The 22,558-nt window shown below is 45.4% G+C and overlaps 1 protein-coding gene and 1 long non-coding RNA gene across 7 annotated transcripts in view; one reads left to right on the plus strand and one right to left on the minus strand.

The window, feature by feature from the left end:
* Positions 1-4,639: 4,639 nt before the first annotated feature.
* On the minus strand, positions 4,640-9,135 carry LOC124904516 (uncharacterized). Its single transcript, XR_007066884.1, has 2 exons — positions 8,139-9,135; positions 4,640-7,083 (listed from the first exon to the last, which is right to left on the minus strand). It is a non-coding gene; the product is annotated as an uncharacterized LOC124904516 (long non-coding RNA).
* MTARC2 (mitochondrial amidoxime reducing component 2) overlaps positions 8,642-22,558 on the plus strand; it is a 36,494-nt gene continuing 22,577 nt past the window's right edge. For 4 of the 6 annotated variants that reach the window (XR_007061333.1, NM_001317338.2, NM_017898.5 and 1 more), the window contains exons 1-3: positions 8,642-9,123; positions 15,267-15,440; positions 21,978-22,140. Coding sequence is in view for 5 of the 6 variants with exons in the window: in NM_001317338.2 (NP_001304267.1) it covers positions 8,852-9,123; positions 15,267-15,440; positions 21,978-22,140 (609 nt within the window). In the remaining variant the exon portion in view is untranslated. The other 2 variants (XM_011509684.2, XM_047423617.1) reach the window with 2 other exon arrangements.

Below are 22,558 nucleotides of genomic sequence, written 5' to 3' on the forward strand. Positions count from 1 at the left end.
TTGTTGATTTTTCTGTCTGGGAGATCTGTCCAATGCTGAAAGCGGGGTGTTGAAGTCCAGCTATTACTGTATTGGGGTATATCCCTTCCTTTAGTTCAAATAATATTTGTTTTATATACCTTGACACTCCAGGTTGGGTGGATACACATTTATATTTTTATATCCTTTTGCTGAATTGACCCCTTCTTCATCATTATGATCTTGTCTCTTTTTATAGTTTTTATCTTGAAATCTATTTTGTCTGATATAAGTATAGTTAATCCTGCTCTTTTTTGGTTTCCATTTGCATGGAATATCTTTTTCCATCCCTTTATTTTCAGTCCGTTTGTGTCTTTATAGGTAAAGTGTGTTTCTTGTATGTGAGAGATTGTTAGGTCTTTTTTTTTTAATCCATTCAGTTACTTTGTGTCTTTTGATTGGAGAGTTTAGTCCATTTACTTTCAATGTTATTACTGATAAGCAAGAAATTACTCCTGTCATTTTGTTATTTATTTTCCGACTGTTTTGTGGTCTTCTCTTCCTGTTTTCCTTTTAGTGAAGATTTTCTCTGGTTGGATGTTTTAATTTCTTGTTTTTTTAATTTTTTGTGTATCCATTATATGTTTTTTGATTTGAGGATACCATGAGGGTTGCAAATATTATATCATAACCCATTATTTTAAACCGATGACAACACTGATTAAACAAAGTAACAAGCAAAAGAAAACAAAAAGCTCTACACTTTAACTTAGTGCCCCTGTTTTTTAACTTTTTGTTGTTTCTATTTACATCTAAAAGTTGTTGTAGTTATTATTTTTGATCAGTACATGTTTCAGTCTTGTCATGTTTAAGTAGAAACTTAAAATATAAGCAGTTTATACACCACAATAATAGTGGTATAATAGTGGTATGATAGTCTATGTTTTTCTGTGTACTTACTATCAACTCTGAGTTTGCACTTTGAGATAATTTCTTATTGCTCATTAATGTCTTTTTCTTTCATATTGAAGAACTCACTTCAGCATTTTCTGTAGGACAGGTCTGCTGTTGATGAAATCCCTCAGCTTTTGTTTGAAAGTCTTTATTTCTCTTTCTTGTTTAAAGGATATTTTTCACTGGATATACTCTTCTAGGGTCCTTCAGCACTTTAAATATGTTATGCCACTCTCTCCTGTGAGGTTTCCACTGTGAGGTGTCCACTGAAAGGCTGCTGCTGGATGTACTGGAGTGCCACTGTGCATTATTTGTTTCTTTTTTCTTGCTGCTTTTAGGATCCTTTCTTCATGGGAGTTGGATTATTAAATGCCTCAAGGTAATCTTCTTTCAGTTAAATCTCTTTGGTGTTCTATATAACCTTCTTGTACATGAATATTGATATCTTTCTCTAGGATTGGAAATTCTCTGTTATTATTCCTTTGAACAAACTTTCTACTCCTATCTTTCTCTCTACCTCCTCTTTGAGGCCAATAACTGTTACATTTGCCTTTTCGAGGCTGTTTTGTAAATCTTGTAGGTGTGCTTCATTCCTTTTTAATCTCTTTTCTTTTGTTTCCTCTGTGTATTTTCAAATAGCCTGTCTTCAAGTCACTAATTCTCCCTTCTGCTTGCTCAATTCTGCTATTAAGAGACTCTGATGCATTCTTTGGTATGTCAGTTGCATTTTTCAACTCTGGAATTTCTGCTTGAATTTTTAATTATTTCAATCTCTTTGTTAAATTTATCTGATTGGATATTGAATTCGTTCTCTTTGTAATCTTGAATTTCATTGAGTTTCCACAAAACAGCTATTTTGAATCCTCTGTCTGAAAGGTCACATATCTCTGTCTCTCCAGGATTGATCCCTGGTGCCCTATTTAGTTCGTTTGGTGAGGTCATGTTTTCCTGGATAGTCTTGATTGCTCAGGGATGTTTGTCAGTAGCTGGGAATTGAAGACTTAGGTTTTTACTGTAGTCTTCACAGTCTGATCTTGTTTGTACCCATCCTTCTTGGGAAAGCTTTCCAGGTATTCAAAGGGACTTGTGTGTTGTAATCTAGGTTTTGGTCCCTGCAGCTGTATCTGCATTAGGGGGCACACTAATCCTGGTAATTCTGTGCCTCTTGCAGACTTGTGGAGGTACTTTCTTGGTGGTCTTGGATAAGATTTTTAAAAAACCCTCTGGTTACCAGGCAGAGATTCTTGTTCTCTTCTCTTATGTTCTCCCAAACAAATGGAGTTTCTCTCTCTGTGCTGAGCTGCTTGGAGTTGGGGGAGGGGTGACACCATCCCTCCTATGGCCACCACCATAGGACTTTGCTGGGCCACACCTGAAGCCAGCGCAGCACTGGGTCTTGCCCAAGGCCTGCTGTGACCACTACCTGGCTACTGCCTATGTTTGCTTAAGGCCCTAGGCCTTTACAATCAGCAGGTGGCAAAGCCAGCCAGTCTTACATCCTTCCCTTCAGGGTGGCAAGTTCCCCCAGGCCCCATGTGGGTTCAGAGATGCTGTCAGGGAGCCAGGGCCTGGAGTCAGAAACATTAGAAATCTACCTGGTATTCTATTCTGCTGCAGCTGAGCTGGCACCCAAATCACAAGACAAAGTTCTTCCCACTCTTACCTCCCCTTTCCACAGGCAGAGGAGCTTCTTTCCATGCCAGAGGAGCTTCTTTCCATGCCACCATCGCCATAGGCCCACCGGAGTACTGCCAAGCTACTGCTGATGTTCGCTTAAGGCTCAAGGGCTGTTCAGTCAGCTTGTGGTGAATACTGCTATGCCTGGGACTCACCCTTCAGGGCATTGGGCTCCCTTCTGGCCCAGGACAGGTCCAGAAATGCCATCCAACAGCCCGGTCTTAGAACCAAGGACCCCAAGAGCCCACCTGGTGCTCTACTCCACGGTGGTCACACTGGTACCTAAGCTGCAAGGCAAAATCCTGTTTACTCTTCCCTTTGCTTGAAGGAGTCTCTCCTTGTAGCCACCACTGCTGGGAATGTGCTGGGTCACACCTGAAGCCAGCATGTTTCAGAGTCTCACCCAAGTTGAGACTTGGTCCCTAGTGCCTTATTTAGTTCTTTTGGTGACGTCATATTTTCCTGGATGGTCTTGATGCTTGTGGATGTTTGTCAGCATCTGGGCATTGAAGAGTTAGGTATTTATTGTAGTCTTCACAGTCTGGGCTTGTTTGTACCCTTCCTTCTTGGGAAAGCTTTCGAGGTATTCACAGGGACTTGGGTGTTGTAATCTAGGTTTACAAACTAGTATATGCTGTGTAGTATATCCACAGCATATACTACCTGGGTACTGCTGCTGATTATTCATGGCTCTAGGGCTCTTTAGTCAGTAGGTGATGAATTCTGCCAGGACTGAATCCTTCCCTTCAAGGCAGCAGGTTCCCTTCTGCCCTAGAGTATGTTTGGAAATGTCATCTAGGACCTAGGGCCTGGAATGGGGGCTTCACACCTCTGCCTGGTGTCCTATTTTCCTGTGACTGAGCTGGTATCCAAGTTGCAAGACAAAGTACTCTCCTTTTCTACTCAAGTAAGAAGACTCTTTCAGAGCTGTGAGCTGTGCTGCCTGGGGTTAGAAGCGTGGGTCAAGAAATCCCTTAGATGTGCTGGCTACTGTCTCACTAGGTTGCATGGCCCCCGAGTCCACTGGCTGTGAGCCCAGCACAGCACCAGGACTTGCTTAGAAGTTGCAGTCCTTGTGGCTTATACTGCCTTTCAAGTTTATTTAGTACCCCAGAGCCCGTTAGCCTGTGGAAGCAAGGCTTGCTGAAACTTAAGTTGTGACTGCTGGGATGGGTGATTCCCCTCTGGTTGGGGCTGGTCTAAGTGCTCCTTCCATGGGTGTCAGCTGAGTTCTGCCCATATTGCTTACTGCTGTGATAGGAAAGCACTGAGTTCCAATGCAAAGTTCCACAATCGCTGTGCTCTTCCTCCCCCAAGAGCACAGACTCTCTCTTGGCCACTGCCAGGAGACTGGGGAGGGTGGTACTGGCAATTCAAGACTATCTTTCCTACCCTCTTCAGTGCCCCTTTCAGTGATACGAAGTTAAAACCAGGTACTTTGATTGCTCACCTGATTTTTGGTTCTTATAAAGGTACTTTGTAGTATAGATAGTTGTTAAATTGGTGTCTCTGCATGGAGGATGATCTATAGAGGCTGCTAATCAGACATCTTGCTCTGTCCCTGCCACTTGGTTTTATGTGTTCAAGGGAAAGTAGGTGAGAGATCCAATGCCATCTTCCTTTCAAAGCTGAAGGTGCTGACTATCAAGCTTGAGTTTCTAATCTGGTGCTTTCAGCCCTGGTCATGTGGCTGGATTTTCATAGTCACTAGGGCATTTTGACTTCCTAGCCATGGTTCTTCTTCCACTATATATATATGCTTAATATCCATTCAAACTCCTGAGTTTAAGCGGCTCTTCTGCCTCAGTGTCCAAAGTAGCTAGTATTACAAGCATGCACCACCATGCCTGCCTCATTCTCTCTTTTTCTGTTGTTTTAAATTTTTTGTAGAAACAGGGTCTCATTATGTTGCCCAGGCTGGTCTTGAACTCTTGGGCTCAAGTGATCCTCCTGCCTCAGTCGCCCAAAGCACTAGGATTACAGGTGTGTGCCACTGGGCCTGGCCTAAGGGGACCTTTGATTAATGTTTGGCCTGCATCAAACTGGGATGTAAGTGAGAAATAAACTTTTATTTTGTTAGAGCATTGAGATGTTGAGGTTGTTACAATATTTTAGCCTAGCCTGCGTCATGAGATTTGTTATATGGGTTGAAGGTTGACTATCCTCACTGCCTGATAATCTGATGTGCTCATCTCCCCAGGAAAGACAAACTGCTACATGGCCCTGATGAATACTTCCATTGGCTGCTGGGTACTCACCTTCCTGAAGAGGACCTGGCTAAGCAAGGTAATATTTGGGTTTTAGGCTTCTTTTTTTCTCTGGTTTCTTGGTTGATATTTTAATTGACAGAGTTTTCTTTATCTATGTCAGTGCCTCTAGGCAGACAATGATGTCTTATTCACTAGAAAGATTTTTCCTAAGCAGAAGTTGCCAAAATATGACAAACTAGGGGAAAAAGTTATGACTTGGGAAGGCATGATAAAAGGGTAATTTTCTTAATTTATAAAAGGATCTTATAAATTAACAAAAAAATAGATAAGTTGATTCAAATCAGAAGGGAAAAAAGATATGCAAACAGCCAATTAGACTCATGAATCCTCAACCTTTGATATGGTTTGGATCTGTGTCCCCAACCAAATCTCATGTTCAATTGCAACCCTCAGTGTTGGAGTTAAGGCCTGCTGGGAGGTGATTGGATCATGGGGCTGGTTTCTCATGGTTTAATACCATTCCCCTTGGTGCTATCATCCTGAGAGTGAGTTCTCATGAGATCTGGCTGTTTAAAAGCATGTGGAACCTCCCCCCTCTCTCTGGGTCCTGCTCCTATCATGTAAGACATCCACTGCTGCTTTGTCTTCCACCATGAGTAAAAGCTCCCTGAGGTCTCCCAGAAGCAGAAGCCGCCGTTCTTCCTGTACAGACTGCAGAACTATGAGCCAATTAAACATTTTTTCTTGATAAATGACCCAGCTTCAGGTATTTCATTATAGCAGTGTGAGAATGGACTAATACAGCCTCTCATCACCCCTCACTAATTCTACAAATGAAGATGCTGGGCTGCAAATGTACACATTACTGATAAGGAATTTCCCTGCTCCCCTGAAGGCACCCCCAACCCCAGCATTGGTGAAGCTTAAACAGGGCAGGCTATGATAGATAATGGCTGGTGAAGACAGCAAAGACTTGGCAGCACTCACCATGGCAAAGTTCCTCACTTGATGTCTATCCCCATCATTTTGCACATGAGGAGGTGGAAGCATGGAAAGGTCAAGTTACCCATCTATCTAGGTAACTATTTCTTCTTTGATGTCTCAAAGATACCTCTCACTCGCTGTTCACAATAGGCTCATCATCTTTTTTCCCAGACTATCTTCTTCTCTTGAATTCTCTTTTTTTTTTTTTTGAGACGGAGTCTCTCTCTGTCGCCCAGGCTGGAGTGCAGTGGCGCGATCTCGGCTCACTGAAAGCTCCGCCTCCTGGGTTCACACCATTCTCCTGCCTCAGCCTCCCAAGTAGCTGGGACTACAGATGCCCACCACCATGCCTGGCTAATTTTTTGTATTTTTAGTAGAGACGGGGTTTCACTATGTGAGCCAGGATGGTCTCGATATCCTGACCTCCTGATCCGCCCACCTCGGCCTCCCAAAGTGCTGGGATTACAGGTGTGAGCCACTGTGCCCAGCTTCTCTTGAATTCTTAATCTCTGAGAATGGTACCCCCATCCCACCCCAGACTTTTATGCCACAGAGCCAGGAGGCCCCGTGGGCTCTTCCTCTCCCTCTGGCTCTGTGTTCTGTCATCACTATCTCTTGTTAATTCTGTCCCCTGACCATCTCTCCTAACCACATGTCTATCTCCAGCCCCACTGTTATTTTTCCTTGATTTGGAATTACATCAGCCTGAACTAGGGCATTTGCAACTCATCTAACCATCTTTGGTGTTACTCTTTCTCAGAGCAGCCAGAATGGCCTTCCTAGCACCCAAGTCTAATCATGCCAGACTGTTGTTCAGAATTCTGAGGTGTCTCCACATTAAGTAGAGATAAGATGCCTGTTGATCTGACCTCTGCCCACCTGTCCTGCCTCAACTCCCGCCACCTGCTGCATGCACAGGTACATCCTAATACAGCTGGATTGCTGGTGGTTGCCCAAACATGCCACACTCTCTTGTTCCTTCCATTTTTTCAGGCTATTGCACGTGCTGCTCCTTTTGCCCAGAATCCTCTCCTTTACCCATCTCCAAGCCCCTCCTCATGTTCAAGTCTCAGCTCCAAAGCTCCGCCCTCTGAAAACAGCACTGTCCTGAGATTCAGCTGCTCTTTTGCCTCTGCATCCTCTGCATCTTGACCTTGCTTCTCCTCTGACATTATCCTCTAGACTTGCAGGGGAGGTGTCAGTCTTCTGGGGAGTCAGTGAACTGGATGGAAGGGCAGCTTCTTCTAAACTTTAAATCCCCAGTGCCAATCTAGGACGAAGCCTGGTGAATGATCAATATCTATGTGGTGAAAGAAAGAGATGATTAATCAATAAGACATTTGCCCTGTCTGGGAGCTCACGTATAGCGAGGCGATGGCTTTGTAAGCCCCTCACTCTGACAGCAGGCTTGTGGGCAGGGAGGACTCTGACCCTCCTCAGGAGTTGGGAGAGGCAAAGGGGGTCAGCTACAAGTGTACACACATCACATTCACCACACCATGCTTAAAAAACAAATCCATAAGTCGCAGCTGCCAAGCATGATGTAAATGTATGGGGATTGAGGGACTAATTCTGCTGGCCTGAGGTTTTTTCCTGGGTGGGGAGAGATTCAGGCCCTGTTTTGTCTTTCACTTTTCACAAGGAACAGCCAAAGGGAACCTGGCTCCTCTGGTTCTCCATCCTTCCCGGAGTCTCTTCCCACACTCCAGAACGGGCCCCTTTCTCTGGAGGTGGCCAGCCCAGATTTGGGGGGTGGCCCACTGGTTGGCCTCCTTAAACTTTCCTAGAACTGTGCCACAGTTTAAGGGACAAACTTTTGAAAAACAGAACAACAACAAAAAACTTGAAAGACTTCAAACCTTAATTTGTCTGAGAAAATCCACTGTTAACCCAATAGCTTGCTTGAATGGAGGTGTTAAAGATCAACAAAGCCAGACATTAGTTAAACCATGAAAACAGATTTTACTCAGTAACTACTTACAGTAGGAGAAAAAGCTGATCATTCTCATTTGTGCATAGCAGAATGGGCGTTTTAAAGGGTGAAGGAGAGAATAGGGCCGGGAAGCTAGCAGGGGATCAAGTGAAAAATCATGAAGGGGCGGTCAGTATTAATGACGGGCAGCTGTGCCTGGAGCTGGCCGTTATGAAGCTGGGATTCTATCCTCCCACAGAGACTGGGGGACAGAGGCCTATCCTCCCCATGACTGCATTTCAGAGCAATGGCTTTCAGGTCCTTGAGAAAGACACTTCTGAGGTGTAGGCGATACATATACATCTCAAAGCAACAGAGAAAGGATTCACAGTTGTAAGCCCTTTTAAGAAAATATCCTAAAAAAGGGAGGTCAGGGGCTTTACCATCGGGTGTTGGCTAGAATAAACGGGGAATTCTCCTGGCTGCCTTGAGCTTTCTCGGGAAGACATTTTACTGGGGTCGAGGTTAGGCGGCAGCGGAGGGTGGGGGACCTTGAGTCATGCTCCTATAAGCCACGCTAGAGTTCCTCGTCTTTGAGTGCAGAGGTTTAGACTGTGTCTTTGTGTGCAGAAAGTCCTGCAGTTCTCACAGCGACCTGCCAGAAAAAGTCGTTCCCAAATGTTTGTAAATCCTCCGTTGGGCAACCCGCCTTCACGTTCTGCGGTGATCTTGTCGAGCGACTAAGCGTGCAGTATTAGCAGAGAAGGGGGTGGCAGAGTGCTGGCGCTGAAGGTCATGTTGCATGGGTAACTGTCGTGTTGTAGGGGCGGGGAAGAGGGAGGAGACACTGACCACCCCAGAGGCCGCCCCATTAGCTCGCTTGCTTTGGGCGGCGTCGCTCCCACGGCGCCCAGGGTACCCCCGCCGCTGTCTGCCTGTCTTCCTCCATTACCGCGCAGGCTTGGTCACCGCATTAAGGCATTCCCGCTCTCCGCGGAACTGCTCTGCCGTCTCGGCGGTGAAAGTGTGAGAGGGTCCGTAGTTGGGTCAACTTTGACTCCTCTCGCCTGCCCGGATCCTTAAGGGCCTCCTCGTCCTCCCGGTCTCCGGTCGCTGCCGGGTCTGTGCGCCGGTCCGCGCCCGCCCTCGCTCTGCCATGGGCGCTTCCAGCTCCTCCGCGCTGGCCCGCCTCGGCCTCCCAGCCCGGCCCTGGCCCAGGTGGCTCGGGGTCGCCGCGCTAGGACTGGCCGCCGTGGCCCTGGGGACTGTCGCCTGGCGCCGCGCATGGCCCAGGCGGCGCCGGCGGCTGCAGCAGGTGGGCACCGTGGCGAAGCTCTGGATCTACCCGGTGAAATCCTGCAAAGGGGTGCCGGTGAGCGAGGCTGAGTGCACGGCCATGGGGCTGCGCAGCGGCAACCTGCGGGACAGGTACAGCACAGCGCGGGCGCGGGGCAGCGCGGAGCCTGCCTGGGATGAGGAGCGGGGGGGCAGGTGGGGCCCGATCTATCTGGGAAGGACTATAGAGGTTTGCCACCTGAGTTTCTGGGCTGACTGTTGGGCCGTTGGTCGTTTATCTGGGAAGGCCAAGTTCATGCCAGGTTTATTTTTGGTAAAGTAGGTAGGGGCAATCCCTTGCCCTTCCCTAGACGAGAGATTCCTCCTCTGTAACAGGAGGGGGTCTGACCTGTATCTCCAAGTCTCCTTAGCTCTAAAGTTTGTGATTCTATCCTAGTATACCAAAGTAGAAAAATAAAGCTATTGGCACTAGAAAGCAGCAAGAAAGAAACCAAGTGTTGTTCAAGGACATTGGCTTAGGCCTTGCTGGGCCTTGTTCCTCACATTTCTCCAATCCTGGGGGTGCCCTGGAGGCCTGATACACTTTGATGAAGGATGAGCAAGTGGCATGGGGACTCTGGGGCAGAGGTGATACTTGCCATTAAGGGAATAGTGTCCCCCCTTCTCCCATAGGCAGAGTTGTTCACAGCCTGGAACTTTGGGACTTTTGGGCCTGACACATAGACATTTCATACTTAGGATTAAGATGCCTTCTTCTTTTTTTTTTTTTTTTTTTTTGAGACAGAATCTCACTTCGTAGCTCAGGCTGGAGTGCAGTGGCACTATCTCAGCTCACTGCAACCTCCATCTCCCAAGTTCAAGCAATTCTCCTGCCTCAGCCTCCCAAGTAGCTGAGATTACAGGTGTGCGCCACCACGCCCGGCTAATTTTTGTATTTTTAGTAGAAACGGGGTTTCACTCTGTTGACCAGGCTGGTCTCAAACTCCTGACCTCAGGGAATCCACCAGCCTCGGCCTCCTAAAGTGCTGGGATTACAGGTGTGAGCCACTGTGCCCAGCCAAGATGTCTTCTTATCTGGCCGAGATGGTTTAGCTGTGGGCCTGTGTCCGAGGGGAGGGAGGTTTGCAAGTTGATCATTCAAGGATTCCTCTAGCAGAGAGCCACCTGCATCCCTGTGTTCACTCCAGGACACGCGGATGCACTGTTTTCTGAAGACTGCTGCCCTCTTAAAGAAATGTGGACTTCCATGGTGTTGGAAAACTTCAGAGAGTCTTAGAGAAGTGTTGTGTACACAGACCATATGAATCATGGGAGGATTTTCATTCTCCCACCCTTACCCCAGATTTCTTATCCTGGAGAGCTTTTTCAACTATAACTTCCTGAGATTCCCATCCCAGGACTACGGAAGCAGAATCACCAAGAGTGGGGCCAACTCGTGTAGAATGTTTAAATCTCCCCCTGGTGATTTTGATGCTATAATTAAAGGATTTTATCCGAGACCATGAAGAAGAAGAGGATGTTTAGAGCTTATTCAAATATGAAGGATAAGAAAAGCCTTCCTATTACTGGAAAGACTTCAGGCTGTGTGGGACTGGACACCTTCCAAAAAACTGGGAGAACCAAATTCTCACGATGCATGTCCAGAGAAAATTAGTGTTGCAGGCTAGGTTGCACTACTTCCTTCCTCGCTTGAAGGGTTGGTTTCACAGACAGTTTCCAGTTCTAATCTGCGTTTCCTCTGATCACCTGAAGAACGGTTTCTTTCCCACTTCTCTTTGTCACTGCTTTGCCATGACTACTGCAACCATGGAAAGAAAATACGTGTCCTTTGCCTGTGCTTTTTGCTCCCACTGGCATCCTAAAATAAATACAACTGTATTACCTTTCCCTTGTTTTAAACAATAAACGCTTAGGATGGGGTGGGGTGATGTGAAGCCTGGGGTAGAGGGAAAGGCAATGAAATTAATGTTATTCAGTGTTAAAATGCAGCAGACACTGAGCTAAATCCTGTCGCATAGATTAGCATATTTAAACCTCATAACAATCTTGTGGGCTAGATAGTATTATCACCATTTTGCAAATAAGGAAACAGTATCAGAATGAAGGAGTATCCCATCCAAGGCCAGAAAACCAGTGTGTGCTGTGGGGATGTGAACTCAGATCTGTGTGAGTACAGAACTTATGCTGTTTGTATGAAACCAGTGCATGATATAAAACTATAAGGATTGCACTGAGGATCAGGAGACTTTGGGCGAACTTCTACAAAGTTGTCTCATTTGCAAAAGAATGAGGTTGAACTTCATGGTCTCTAAAGCCCCATTTTAACTACATTTTATTTATCAAAGCATAATTAACAATTTGAAAGCAGGCTTGCTGGAGAGAACTCTGTTTGATAGCCGCTGTCTTCTCCACCTGACAATTTAATAACACTACTACAAATGTTCCTAGAGTTCAGGGAAAGGCCTCATTTAATGAATTCCATTCTGAACCTGTGTCTTTGGAACTAACTGTTCCAAGGAGCTGGGATTTTCCTCTGGAAGTGCTCTGGGTCTCAAATTTCTAAAGGTATTTTGTTCAAAGCTCTTAGTATACTTGTGAACACTTGGCTTGAGCACCCTAAGCATTGAGTGTTTAAAGTCCACCTGGCAGAATGCTGGCATTCGGTGCCTGGTGCAGTTGCTGGGAGGGCGTGCTTGTCCTCCCTGACCTTGGAAATCTCTGCTCTCCTTAGCAGCCATATGTGAGTTGATCAGTTTTATCTCTCTAAACCCTTACTGAAGCCAGTCCTTTATTTCTTCTGCACAAATGATGAACTGTTGGAGAAAGGAATCCCTTAAGTTTATTATTGTCCAGGGTGTTATTCCCTGCCCAATTCCTGCTGTTTTTCTCCTCCCACACTCAGTAGTAGAGTTCCTGCTTTCCCTCACTTTTCAGTCCTTCCTGCTCCCCAGGCCAGTTTGTAATTGAGAAATGATATTTTTTTCTGTTGTTTTGGGCTCCACTTACCCGTTGCTGTTGGTTGTTCGGGGCTCTATAGCTCTTTTGGGGAATCGGGGCTCCAGGCTTCTACACTGATCCCTCTACCACATACTCATGTTTTACCTGTGAATTCAAGGTGCTGGCTTTTAGTGTTGCAGACTAGGTTGGGGTAACTTGGTTATGATGAAATCTATGCTCCAGACTTATCTCTTCTTTCAGATCTGGCAGAATAGAACTAGTTATTCATTCACTGGGCATCATTTTGTGCACAAGAGGTGAAAAATAATATTGCCCAGGTTGACAGGGAAATGAGATGGTTGGGGTATGTTACAAATGGTAACCTTTTAACCTGTGATTGCTGTATTTGTCCTGTTCCAAAATTGGACTCCCTGTAAGTTGCCAGTTTTTCAGTGACAGTGATGAGTGGGAAACCTCTAGTGACAACTTCCCACTGTTAACCTCAGCAGTTAACACCTGTATTATTATACAACAGTCTGGAGCCACAGGCCAGGCTGTGAGCCACGGTGAAGGGCGACATTAATAAGGGATGAATGGGAGATGAGAAGATTCAGCCCATGGAGAAATAATGTCAGAAATAATGTGCAAACAGGTTTGCCACTCCTGTTTGGACATGGCTCTGGTTGTGTGCAGATCTCAAAGGGAGTCTTGTCTGGGGAAGGGGCATGTTGGAAGTTAAGGGTGAAGGCTTTAGTGAGGCTAACCAAAGAAATGTGCACCAAGGGACAAGGCTGGAAATAGGGAATAGGGCCCAGCCCTGTGAGGCATCTAAGTCAGTGGATGCCTGCCTATTTCACTGTAGCCCCATTCTCTGGGCAGACATCCTCAGATTTACAGAACCCAGCCCCAGGATGAGTGAGCCAGAGAACTGTGGGATCTAAAGACATCTTTGACCAGGCAGGATGGCTCACATCTGTAATCTCAGCACTTTGGGAGGCCAAGGAGGGAGGATTAATTGAGCCAGGAGTTCCAGACCAGCCAGGAGGTCCAGACCACAGTGGGACCCCATCTCTACAAAAAATAAAAAGATCAGTTGGGCGTGGTGGTGTGTGCCTGTAGTCCCAGCTACTCAGGAGACTGAGGCAGGAGGATCGCTTGAGCCCAGCAGTTCAAGGCTGCCATGAGCTAAGATCACGCCGCTGTACTCCAGAGCCTGGGTGATAGAGTGAGACCCTGTCTCCCTCTCTCTTGATATTAATTAAGTATAAATATATATAAATGAATAAATAATACACATATGCATATATACACTTAGGAAATGGTGGGCTGGGCACGGTGGCTCACGCCTGTAATCCCAACACTTTGGGAGGCCGAGGTGGGCAGATCATGAGATCAGGAGATCGAGACCATCCTGGCTAACACGGTGAAACCCTGTCTCTACTAAAAAAAAAAAAAAAAAAATACAAAAAATTAGCCGGGCATGGTGGCGGGTGCCTGTAGTCCCAGCTACATGGGAGGCTGAGGCAGGAGAATGGTGTGAACCCAGGAGGTGGAGCTTGCAGTTAGCCGAGATCGTGCCACTGCACTCCAGCCTGGGTGACAGAGTGAGACTCCGTCTCAGAAAAAAAGAAAAAAAAAAGAAAGAAAGAAAAAGGTGGTCTCCTCAGTGGGGTGGGGACTTGCTGCTACCCAGTGTCACCAGCTTTTTGGAAGCAGGTAGTCAAGACAGTTACTGGAATGCCTTTACACTGCCACACCATCATAATGCCAGTTAGCAGAGCACAGGCTGCCAGCCATTGTCTTCTGGTGTGGTTGCGGGGAAGGGACAGTTTAGCCAGCACCTGGAAAGGACTTTACGGATAAGGAGGTTGCAGATGTAAGACTATCTGTCAGGGTCAGGACAGGGCAGAGACGGAGCTCCCTGTGCTGGGATATTGGATGTCCTCCTGAGGTCTCCTCAGCCTTTCCCTGATGGCTCTGGTCATATTTTGGAATGTCTCCCTGGGAGGAGCCGCCCCTGCTTCTGGAAGGGGCTGTGCTTTTTATCCTCCTCACATTTGGAAAGCCTCTGGCTTTCAGACAATTTTTACTTATCAGTGCCTGCATTTTCCTCACCCGCTAGTCTGCAGATTCTATCTTCTTTCTAAAATAGTGATATTGGGCTAGGCACAGTGGCTCATGCCTATAATCCCAGTACTTTGGGAGGCTGAGGCGGCAGGTCACTTGAGGCCATGAGTTCAAGACCAGCCCAGCCAACATAGCGAAACCCCATCTCTACTAAAAGTACAAAAATTAGCTGGGCGTGGTGGTACACACCTGTAATCCCAGCTACCCGGGAGGCTAAGGCAAGAGAATCACTTGAACCAAGGAGGTGGAGGTTGCAGTGAGCTAGACTGTACCACTGCACTCCAGCCTGGCTGACAGAGTGAGACTCTGTCTCAAACGAAATGAAACAAAACAACTAAACGAAACAAAACAAAATGAAACTAAACTGTGATATTGAAATTTATTTTCCCTAGGAGTGGAAGATTTTTTTCTTTTTGGCAACACAGTCTTTTGTGTGGTACAGCCCCAACCTATATGCTAGGCTGTAGGTAAAAGCCTAACCAACTGGGCCTGGCCAGCTTCCCCTCACTCTTCAGCTCATCCCATAGAAATACAAAGTAAGAAAACCAAGTCCAGTACAGTGGGCTCTCTAGGAAATAAGTGGGATTCTTATCTAACATGTGACTTCTGTGTGTCTTTGTTCTCTATGTCAGAATGTGTGCATGAAGAGGAAAGGCTGTTTGGGAGGTTTCCTGATGTAGGACCCCCGCATGCCGCGGCAAGTTAAACAGAGCAGAGGCTGGCCTGGTTCCGCTTGGAGGCAGCAACATTGCAAGACCTTTGTCTCAGACTCAAACTCACTTGGCCAACCTCATCTTGTTCTACAACAAAAGGACCTGAAAGCTATTTTACTTCTCCCAGGGCCACAGAGACATATTTAACAGACCTGCAGAAGCTTCTAACCAAAGCAGAACCCCCAGACAAGCAGCAGGGTTGACTAAGCAGTGAGGGAGAGTCTCTGAGCCAGGCTCATGTTCTTGTTTTTGAAACTGGAGATTGCCATACATCAGCCAGACACTCTCCCAGAACTGTTTCCGCCAAATAAGCTCTTTCTGGGGTCACCAACTTTTAGACCCAAATCATTTGGCCAGACCTGGATAATTGTCTGGAAAATGATTGTTAGGTCCCAAGACGGGGTGGGTGGAGAGTTCTGAGGAAGTAGAAAGCTGGAGGGAAGCTGTTGGGAGGTGGAAGAGGATTTTCTGAGTGTGCCCTGGTTTGTTTCTCTGCAGGTTTTGGCTGGTGATTAAGGAAGATGGACACATGGTCACTGCCCGACAGGAGCCTCGCCTCGTGCTCATCTCCATCATTTATGAGAATAACTGCCTGATCTTCAGGGCTCCAGACATGGACCAGCTGGTTTTGCCTAGCAAGCAGCCTTCCTCAAACAAACTCCACAACTGCAGGTGTTCCGCTTGGGGGCATCCACAGAACTGCAACAGGCTTGGTTTCTCTTCAGGCTCCTCCTTGCATTCTGTCTTGCTATAGTTTCTACAGTAGAGGATGACATTGGTAAAGGAAACATTTAAGAGAAGTGCAGTTTGAGTTGGGATTGGGCATGAGTGGATGATGCAGGGTATTGTTTTCAGGGTACCTAGGATTTGTTTTAATCAGGTATGGTTAGACACGCAGACATAGAAATGACTGTCCTGAAAAAAGAAGATGTTATACCAACAGATTCTCTAGAAACTGGAGGCACGCTACGCCACGCAAGGCCAAGTGGGGGAGTACCAGGGTGGGTCAGGAGGCAGAGGGAGCAGGGGGAACATGTGGGCAAGGGCTTTTATTGTGGTTTCCACAGGAAAGGAGAAGCAAGGCAGGGGCGGCAGGCTTAGGGCTGGCTAGTTTGAACAATTTCAGCAGGCTCTGGGTCACAGGTTGTCTGGTACTTGGCTCTAGGGTTGACTAGGGCATGGGACTAGTGGCCCGGCATGTAAGCACCAAATAAAGGAGGTGACTGGGAGTGCAGACTCTGGATGGGTTGGTGTTCCTATTACAGGCACACTTGCAGGTCATCAGTCTATTATTTCTAGGAATTGGTCAGCCCTGGAAGAAGCAGTTTCTTCAGTGTCAACAAGGCTCCAAGATGTCAAAGCGTAAAACATGCAGAAAATTAAAAGCAGGATTACTACAAGTATAAAGGTGGTACAATGTGCTCATCTTTAGGGCTTTTCTCCTTTCATTCAAATCTTCATTCAGAATTGTCAACTCTCCAACCAGGCAGACAAGGGAGTTAGTGGAGACTTTAGCAGCTGTATCTCAGGGCTGGGTGAGAAGGATGCTGGAGCTTCCAGAGCTTTTCAAGTTGACTCTGCGGCCTCTGAAGTGTGTGGTTGAGATGAAGACATATTCCTTGGGTGTAAGGGATTTCCACTTCTGGCCAAAGACACACCTCAGGCCTTGGCTTCCTTTTGGCCTATGGGACTTCTGTTGGGTTGTCAAGTTCCGTGGTTTGCTGGGGTCTTGTCCTTCCACATTAAGAAGACTTAGATGCTTGTCATGGGATGAACTGGATCCCTTGTCACCAACTGAGCTTGTTAAGTGTGTGGAAGTTGGTGTTGTCCCAGGGCTCAGAGGGGAGCCTCAGATTACTCCGTGAACTCTCATCTTACGCTTTTTCAAGCAAAGCGTCTAAGCTGAAATCCACAACTCATGGTTCCCAATTTTCAAAAGTCTGAAGCAATAATTCACTGAATTCAGTATTTCAGGTAATTATCTTAGCAAGCCCATGAGGGGGTCATTAATTCCACTTTACAAACGAGGAAACCACGTCTTAGATCACTGCCACGAAAACACAGAGCTGGGATTTGAACCCACTTCCCTCCTAAGGCTTTTGCCTTTAACGTGTTTGTGTAGGGAGAAGAAAAGCTTTTCCATAAATGACAGGTTTTGAGCCCATCAGTTCATTGAAGAGGAAGTGTGTAGCCATCTCGGCTTAATTGGAAGACATGTGAAGGTGATGGGTAAATACGTAGCTGACATGTGTCACATGAGTAATATAGGTGTTGCCCTGTAGACTCACTGTGTTGCCAACAGTGAGCAAGTTTTTCCCCCAAGGCTCTTTACCAGCTAAATAGGCAGAAATCTAGGGGGACACTCACCTTCCTGGATGGAAAGAGGGAAAGAGGAAGACCTTGCAGGTGAGTTGCCTGGGTCTGAAAAAGACAGCAATTGCAGCCTATTCTTTTTTATTTATTTATTTTTTGAGACGGAGTTTTGCTCTTGTTGCCCAGCCTGGAGTGCAATGGCACGATCTTGGCTCACTGCAACCTCCACCTCCCAGGTTCAAGCGATTCTCCTGCCCCAGCCTCCTGAGTAGCTGGGATTAGAGGCATGTGCCATGACGCCCAGCTAATTTTGTATTTTTAGTAGAAATGGGGTTTCACCATGTTGGCCAGGCTGGTTTCGAACTCCTGACCTCAGGTGATCCACCTGCCTTGGCCTCCCAGACTTCTGGGATTGCAGGCATGAGCCACCGTGCTCAGCCTGAAGCCTCTTCTTATGTAATTCTGTTCCATGCATGAATTGTAGATCTGGATGAGGTGGGAATAGAGAGCCTGGAACCCTGGCAGTTTGGTGAAAATGATTGAGAGCTGTGCATTTGGATTGATGCAGAGGTGTAGTCAGCGCACTGCCCTCTCTAGCTGGTTAGACATGCTGTAACTAGTTCAGCCTGTATTTATAAGCTATTTTTAATGGATTCGTTGCCAAGGGAACTGCTAAAAACTGAAGAAATAACATAGATAGTGTGTTTAGCTAGTGCCAGCTGCTGTGACAAAATACCATAGTCTGGGTGGCTTAAACAACTGACATTTATTTCTCATAGTTTGGGAGGATGGGAAGTCTAAGATCGAGGTGCTGGTAGATTGGTGAGGTCCCTTTTCAGGGCTGTAGATGGCCACTTCTCGTTATGTCCTCACATGACCTTCCCTGGTGCCTGCATGAAGAGAGAAAGCAATCTTGTGTTTCTTCCTCTTATAAGGGTGCCAATCCCAGCATGAGGGCTCCACCTCATCTAACCCTAATTACCTCCCATAGGCCCCACATTGGGGGTGAGGGTGTCAACAAAGGAATTCTGGGGAGACACAAACATTTAGCCCCTAACAGATGGTAAGCGACAGAGTGATTACCACAGCCAGCCCACCAGAGCCCAGAATCAAATAACATAAACCAACAACCTCAAGTTAGTAAAAAGAAAAGTCCCTTCACAGACATTTGGACAAGGCTGAAGTGTTATGAATTTTATATTATTCTACACTTATTTTATTTTATTATTATTATTATTTTTGAGATGGAGTCTCGCTCTGTCACCCGGGCTGGAGTGCAGTGGCGCGATCTCAACTCGCTGTAACCTCTGCCTCCTGGGTTCAAGTGATTCTCCTGCCTCAGCCTCCTGAGTAGCTGGGACTACAGGCGCACGCCACCACGCCCAGCTAATTTTTGTATTTTTAGCAGAGACGGGATTTCACCATGTTGGCTACCATGGTCTCGATCTCCTGACCTTGTGATCCACCCGCCTCGGCTTCCCAAAGTGCAGGGATTACAGGCATGAGCCACCACGCCCGGCCACTTATTTTTTTTAAACTTTCACTGTTAGTGTTTTGAATCAGCTTTCCCTGTTCACCTTGTGTGGTGTTAAGTTTTTTTATACTAATTATAGACCAGTATGGCTTCTTGATTATCACAAGTATTTATGAATAATTATTACCTTTTTTTTTTTTTGAGATGGAGTTTCGCTCTTGTTGCCCGGGCTAGAGTGCGATGGCACGATCTCAGCTCACTGCAACCTCCATCTCCCAGGCTCAAGTGATTCTCCTGCCTCAGCCTCCTGAGTAGCTGGGACTACAGGCATGCACCACCACACCCGGCTAATTTTTGTATTTTAGTAGAGGTGGGGTTTCACCATGTTGGCCAGGTTGTTCTCGAACTCCTGACCTCAAAGTATCCACCTGCCTTGGCCTCCCAAAGTGCTGGGATTACAGGCATCAGCCACCGTGCACGGCCTGATTATTGTCTTAAAAGGTGAAGCTAATGTTTTAAAGTAGGGGGAAGTAAGACATGACTTCAACCCTATATTGAATTTGTGGTTCAATTTACAGAAAATTGATGTGAAAATATGTGTGTGTGTGTGTGTGTCTGGGTGTGTGTGTGTGTGTATTAAATAAAGCACTTGCAAGAGGACCTGGTATACAGTAAGCACTTAACTGGATATTAGGTCTTAAATAGCTATTATCTTTATTGTATTAATCCACCTTATCTATGAATATTATTTTTCTTCACTTGTTTGTGTCTTATCTCTTTAATAAAGTTTTATAATTTTATCTGTAATGTGATTTTACATGTTTTGTTAGATTTAGTCCTAAACATTTACTCTTTTCTTCCACTTTTACATAGCAAGTCTTAAAAACACTTTTTTTGTTTGCTGTGTAAGATTGGTATTATTTATTCTTTAATTATTGATAGAACTTGCCAGTAAAAGTATCTGGATTTTCTTTGTAAGAGTCTATTCAAGTTTTTATGTCCTCTTACATAATTTTTAGTGAGTTACTTTTGATTAGTGAGTTAAGAGATTGCTTACTAATGAAGTTTTATTGAACCCAGAGTGAGGGTCAGTTTTTTCTATGGAATGTTGCTGATGAGACATTTTGTGTCAAAATGTAGAAGAGAGTGGACTTTGCAGAAAATTCTGCAAGAATTGGAGAAGATGGCATGGCAGAGGGAGCGATACCATCCAGTGCAGGGATGGGAGACAGGGCTGGTGGAGGGATGCCTTCCATCGGGGGGAAGGGGCTCCGGTTAATCAGTATTCCATTGCCCTGTTGGGGGCTTTTCTGCTTTTCAAAGTGCCACCCATAAGCTTTCCCGGGTGGGTGGAGACTGTGAGTAATATGTGTGCACTTATGTACAAGTGCTGTTCTGAGGGGATGAGGGAAGAGCTCCATCCAGGAGCATGTACTTAGGGAACTGCTGAACAGTGGGATGGAATCAGTTTTAGGGGAAAGGCAGAAGGCCAGGAGAGGATCATGAGATGTCTGTAGAGCCAAGAATTAATCAGAGGTGAAACAGTGGCTTCGAGAAGGGGGTTTAGAGGGAAGGAAAAGGCCCAAGAAATGTGAAAGGAACAGCACTGAGATTTGACAGTAGATAGGAGAGGAGGTGAGAGGTTGGGAGTCTCTACCCTCAGACCAGGATTGTGAGTTGCAGGGTACACAGGGGTTCATCTAACTGGGAGCACCTCAGGTGTCCACATTGAAATCCTTCACATGCATCGCCTCAGGAGTCCTCACACTGGTATGAGCCTTCCCACGGGGAGGGGCAAGCCCTTCCCATGGTAGATGAGGGTAGGGGAATCAATTTCCAGATCCTGTGAATTATATCTACAATCAGCAAGTTCTCCGGTCTCACCATAAACATTTCTTCTTTGTACAGAGGAAAGGCTTTTGTCTGTCCACCCCACATCTTACTAGGGGCATTGCCCTTGGAGGGAAAAACATACAGGGACCCAAACAATGAAAAATGCTGGTGTTGATAAAGAGGGTGATGTTAATGACAGGGTAAAATGGTTGTACAAGTCAGTGGTTCCAACTCTTTGTCTTACATTAAAATGAAGGGGCCTCCAGTGAAATTGTTGCTGATAAATCATTAAAAATACTTTTTGATGACAAATCACTATGTGAAATATATTGCCTGGAGATTCAAGGAATAAGTGAAATTACTATAACTCCCATTTCTATCTATTTGTTTGTGTGAAAAATTCCTCAGGGCTTATTTAAAAGAAAGAAAATTGATACTGAACCTTGTCTTATTCTAGCAATATGTGAGATTCATTCAGAGTTTTATGGATATTTTATGGGGTTCATTAAGCATTTGATTTCAAATAAAATTTCACTTTTTAAGTTCATGAATTATAAAAATATATAGCATATCTATTTTGTTATGATCAATTGTATATAAATCATAATTGTAATGATAACTCAATCCTGAAAACATTTCTTCACACTTGAAAGCTTAAGAAACAAAACAAATTTAATTGATTCAAAAGAAATACAGTAAGTGAGCGATAGCCATAAAAATACATTAGGATAAAATTACATAAGTAAAATAATATACATATGTGTTCATGAATAAAAAGAGGAATAATACAAAAATGTTTAAATGGATAATGGTGGATATCAAACCAACATGGCATTTAGATCCCGTTACACACTTTTAAAAGCATAATGTAATCATTTTATTTTAAATGTCAGTGTTTAGAATTCAATGGAAATGATGTCTTTCAGAACAAATTAAACTTATGATGAAAAAGTTTACCTGTCAACTTATAGTTCTGTGAAGGGTCCATAGCTTTTTAAAACTCCATTAGGGGAATTTAAGCAAGAAAACCTTGAGGGCCGCTGTGTTATCTAAAGTTATCTGTTCCCACCAAGTGACGTAGGTAGGTACCATATAATTATTTCCAATTTACAACTGAAGACAGGTCAGAGGAGTTAAATGATTTGCTTATGGTCACAGAACTAGAGAATGGCCGAGTTCCAATTTGACCCAGGTCTGTTGGATTCTAAGCTCAGGGTGCATCTGCCACAGGGCAGCCCCTCTCCTCTTGTGAAAGTGTCCTAAATCCTTACGTTCATGGACCAGCAGCTTAGGCATACAGAAGCTTGTTGGGAATGCAGAATCTCAGACTCTAACCCAGACCTACTGAACCAGAATCTGCATTCAAACAAGATCCTGGAGGATTTGCACATACATTAGGGTTTGGGTAGCTCTTCCCCAGAGCACACTCTACTCCTTTCTCTTGCACTTCTGCCCAGCTTTGACCCAGGGACCACTTAACAGCCCTCTGGGATGGTCAGGTCCCAACAGTCCAGCTGTTCATTTTTGACACCATCCCTCAGTGTATTGATATAAGTAAGTAACCTGGTGTTCTTTTGTGACCTTTCCAGGATATTTGGCCTTGACATTAAAGGCAGAGACTGTGGCAATGAGGCAGCTAAGTGGTTCACCAACTTCTTGAAAACTGAAGCGTATAGATTGGTTCAATTTGAGACAAACATGAAGGGAAGAACATCAAGAAAACTTCTCCCCACTCTTGATCAGAATTTCCAGGTGAGCTTACAGAGAGTTTACCTTCACTGCTACTAGTCACCCTTCTCTTTCTGGCTTCCTTCCCAGTTGATAAAGAGCCTCTCTTGGGACCTCAGTTAAGAAAATATGATAATGGCCCTGGTGAGTGATAATGAGGGCACAGCCTAGGCAGAGGTACCAGGGGATGGAAAAGAAGGTGGATATGAGAGGTGTCTCAAAAGTGGGATCTCTAGGGTGTATGGAGGATTGAATATGGGAGATATTGTGGAGGGGGGAGCCAGGGGTGACTCCCAGGTAGATGGAGATGCAAGAGAAAACTGGCTGGAGAAACAAAAGTGAGAAGTTTGTTTGGGACTAAATCCAAGTTTCCTGGAATTATAGAAGCGGACTTTGTTCTGACCCGCCCCTCACAATCTGTGACATGTGCTTATTTCAGGTG

The sequence above is a fragment of the Homo sapiens genome, chromosome 1, assembly GCF_000001405.40.
Source record: "Homo sapiens chromosome 1, GRCh38.p14 Primary Assembly".
NCBI classification, from domain to species: domain Eukaryota; kingdom Metazoa; phylum Chordata; class Mammalia; order Primates; family Hominidae; genus Homo; species Homo sapiens.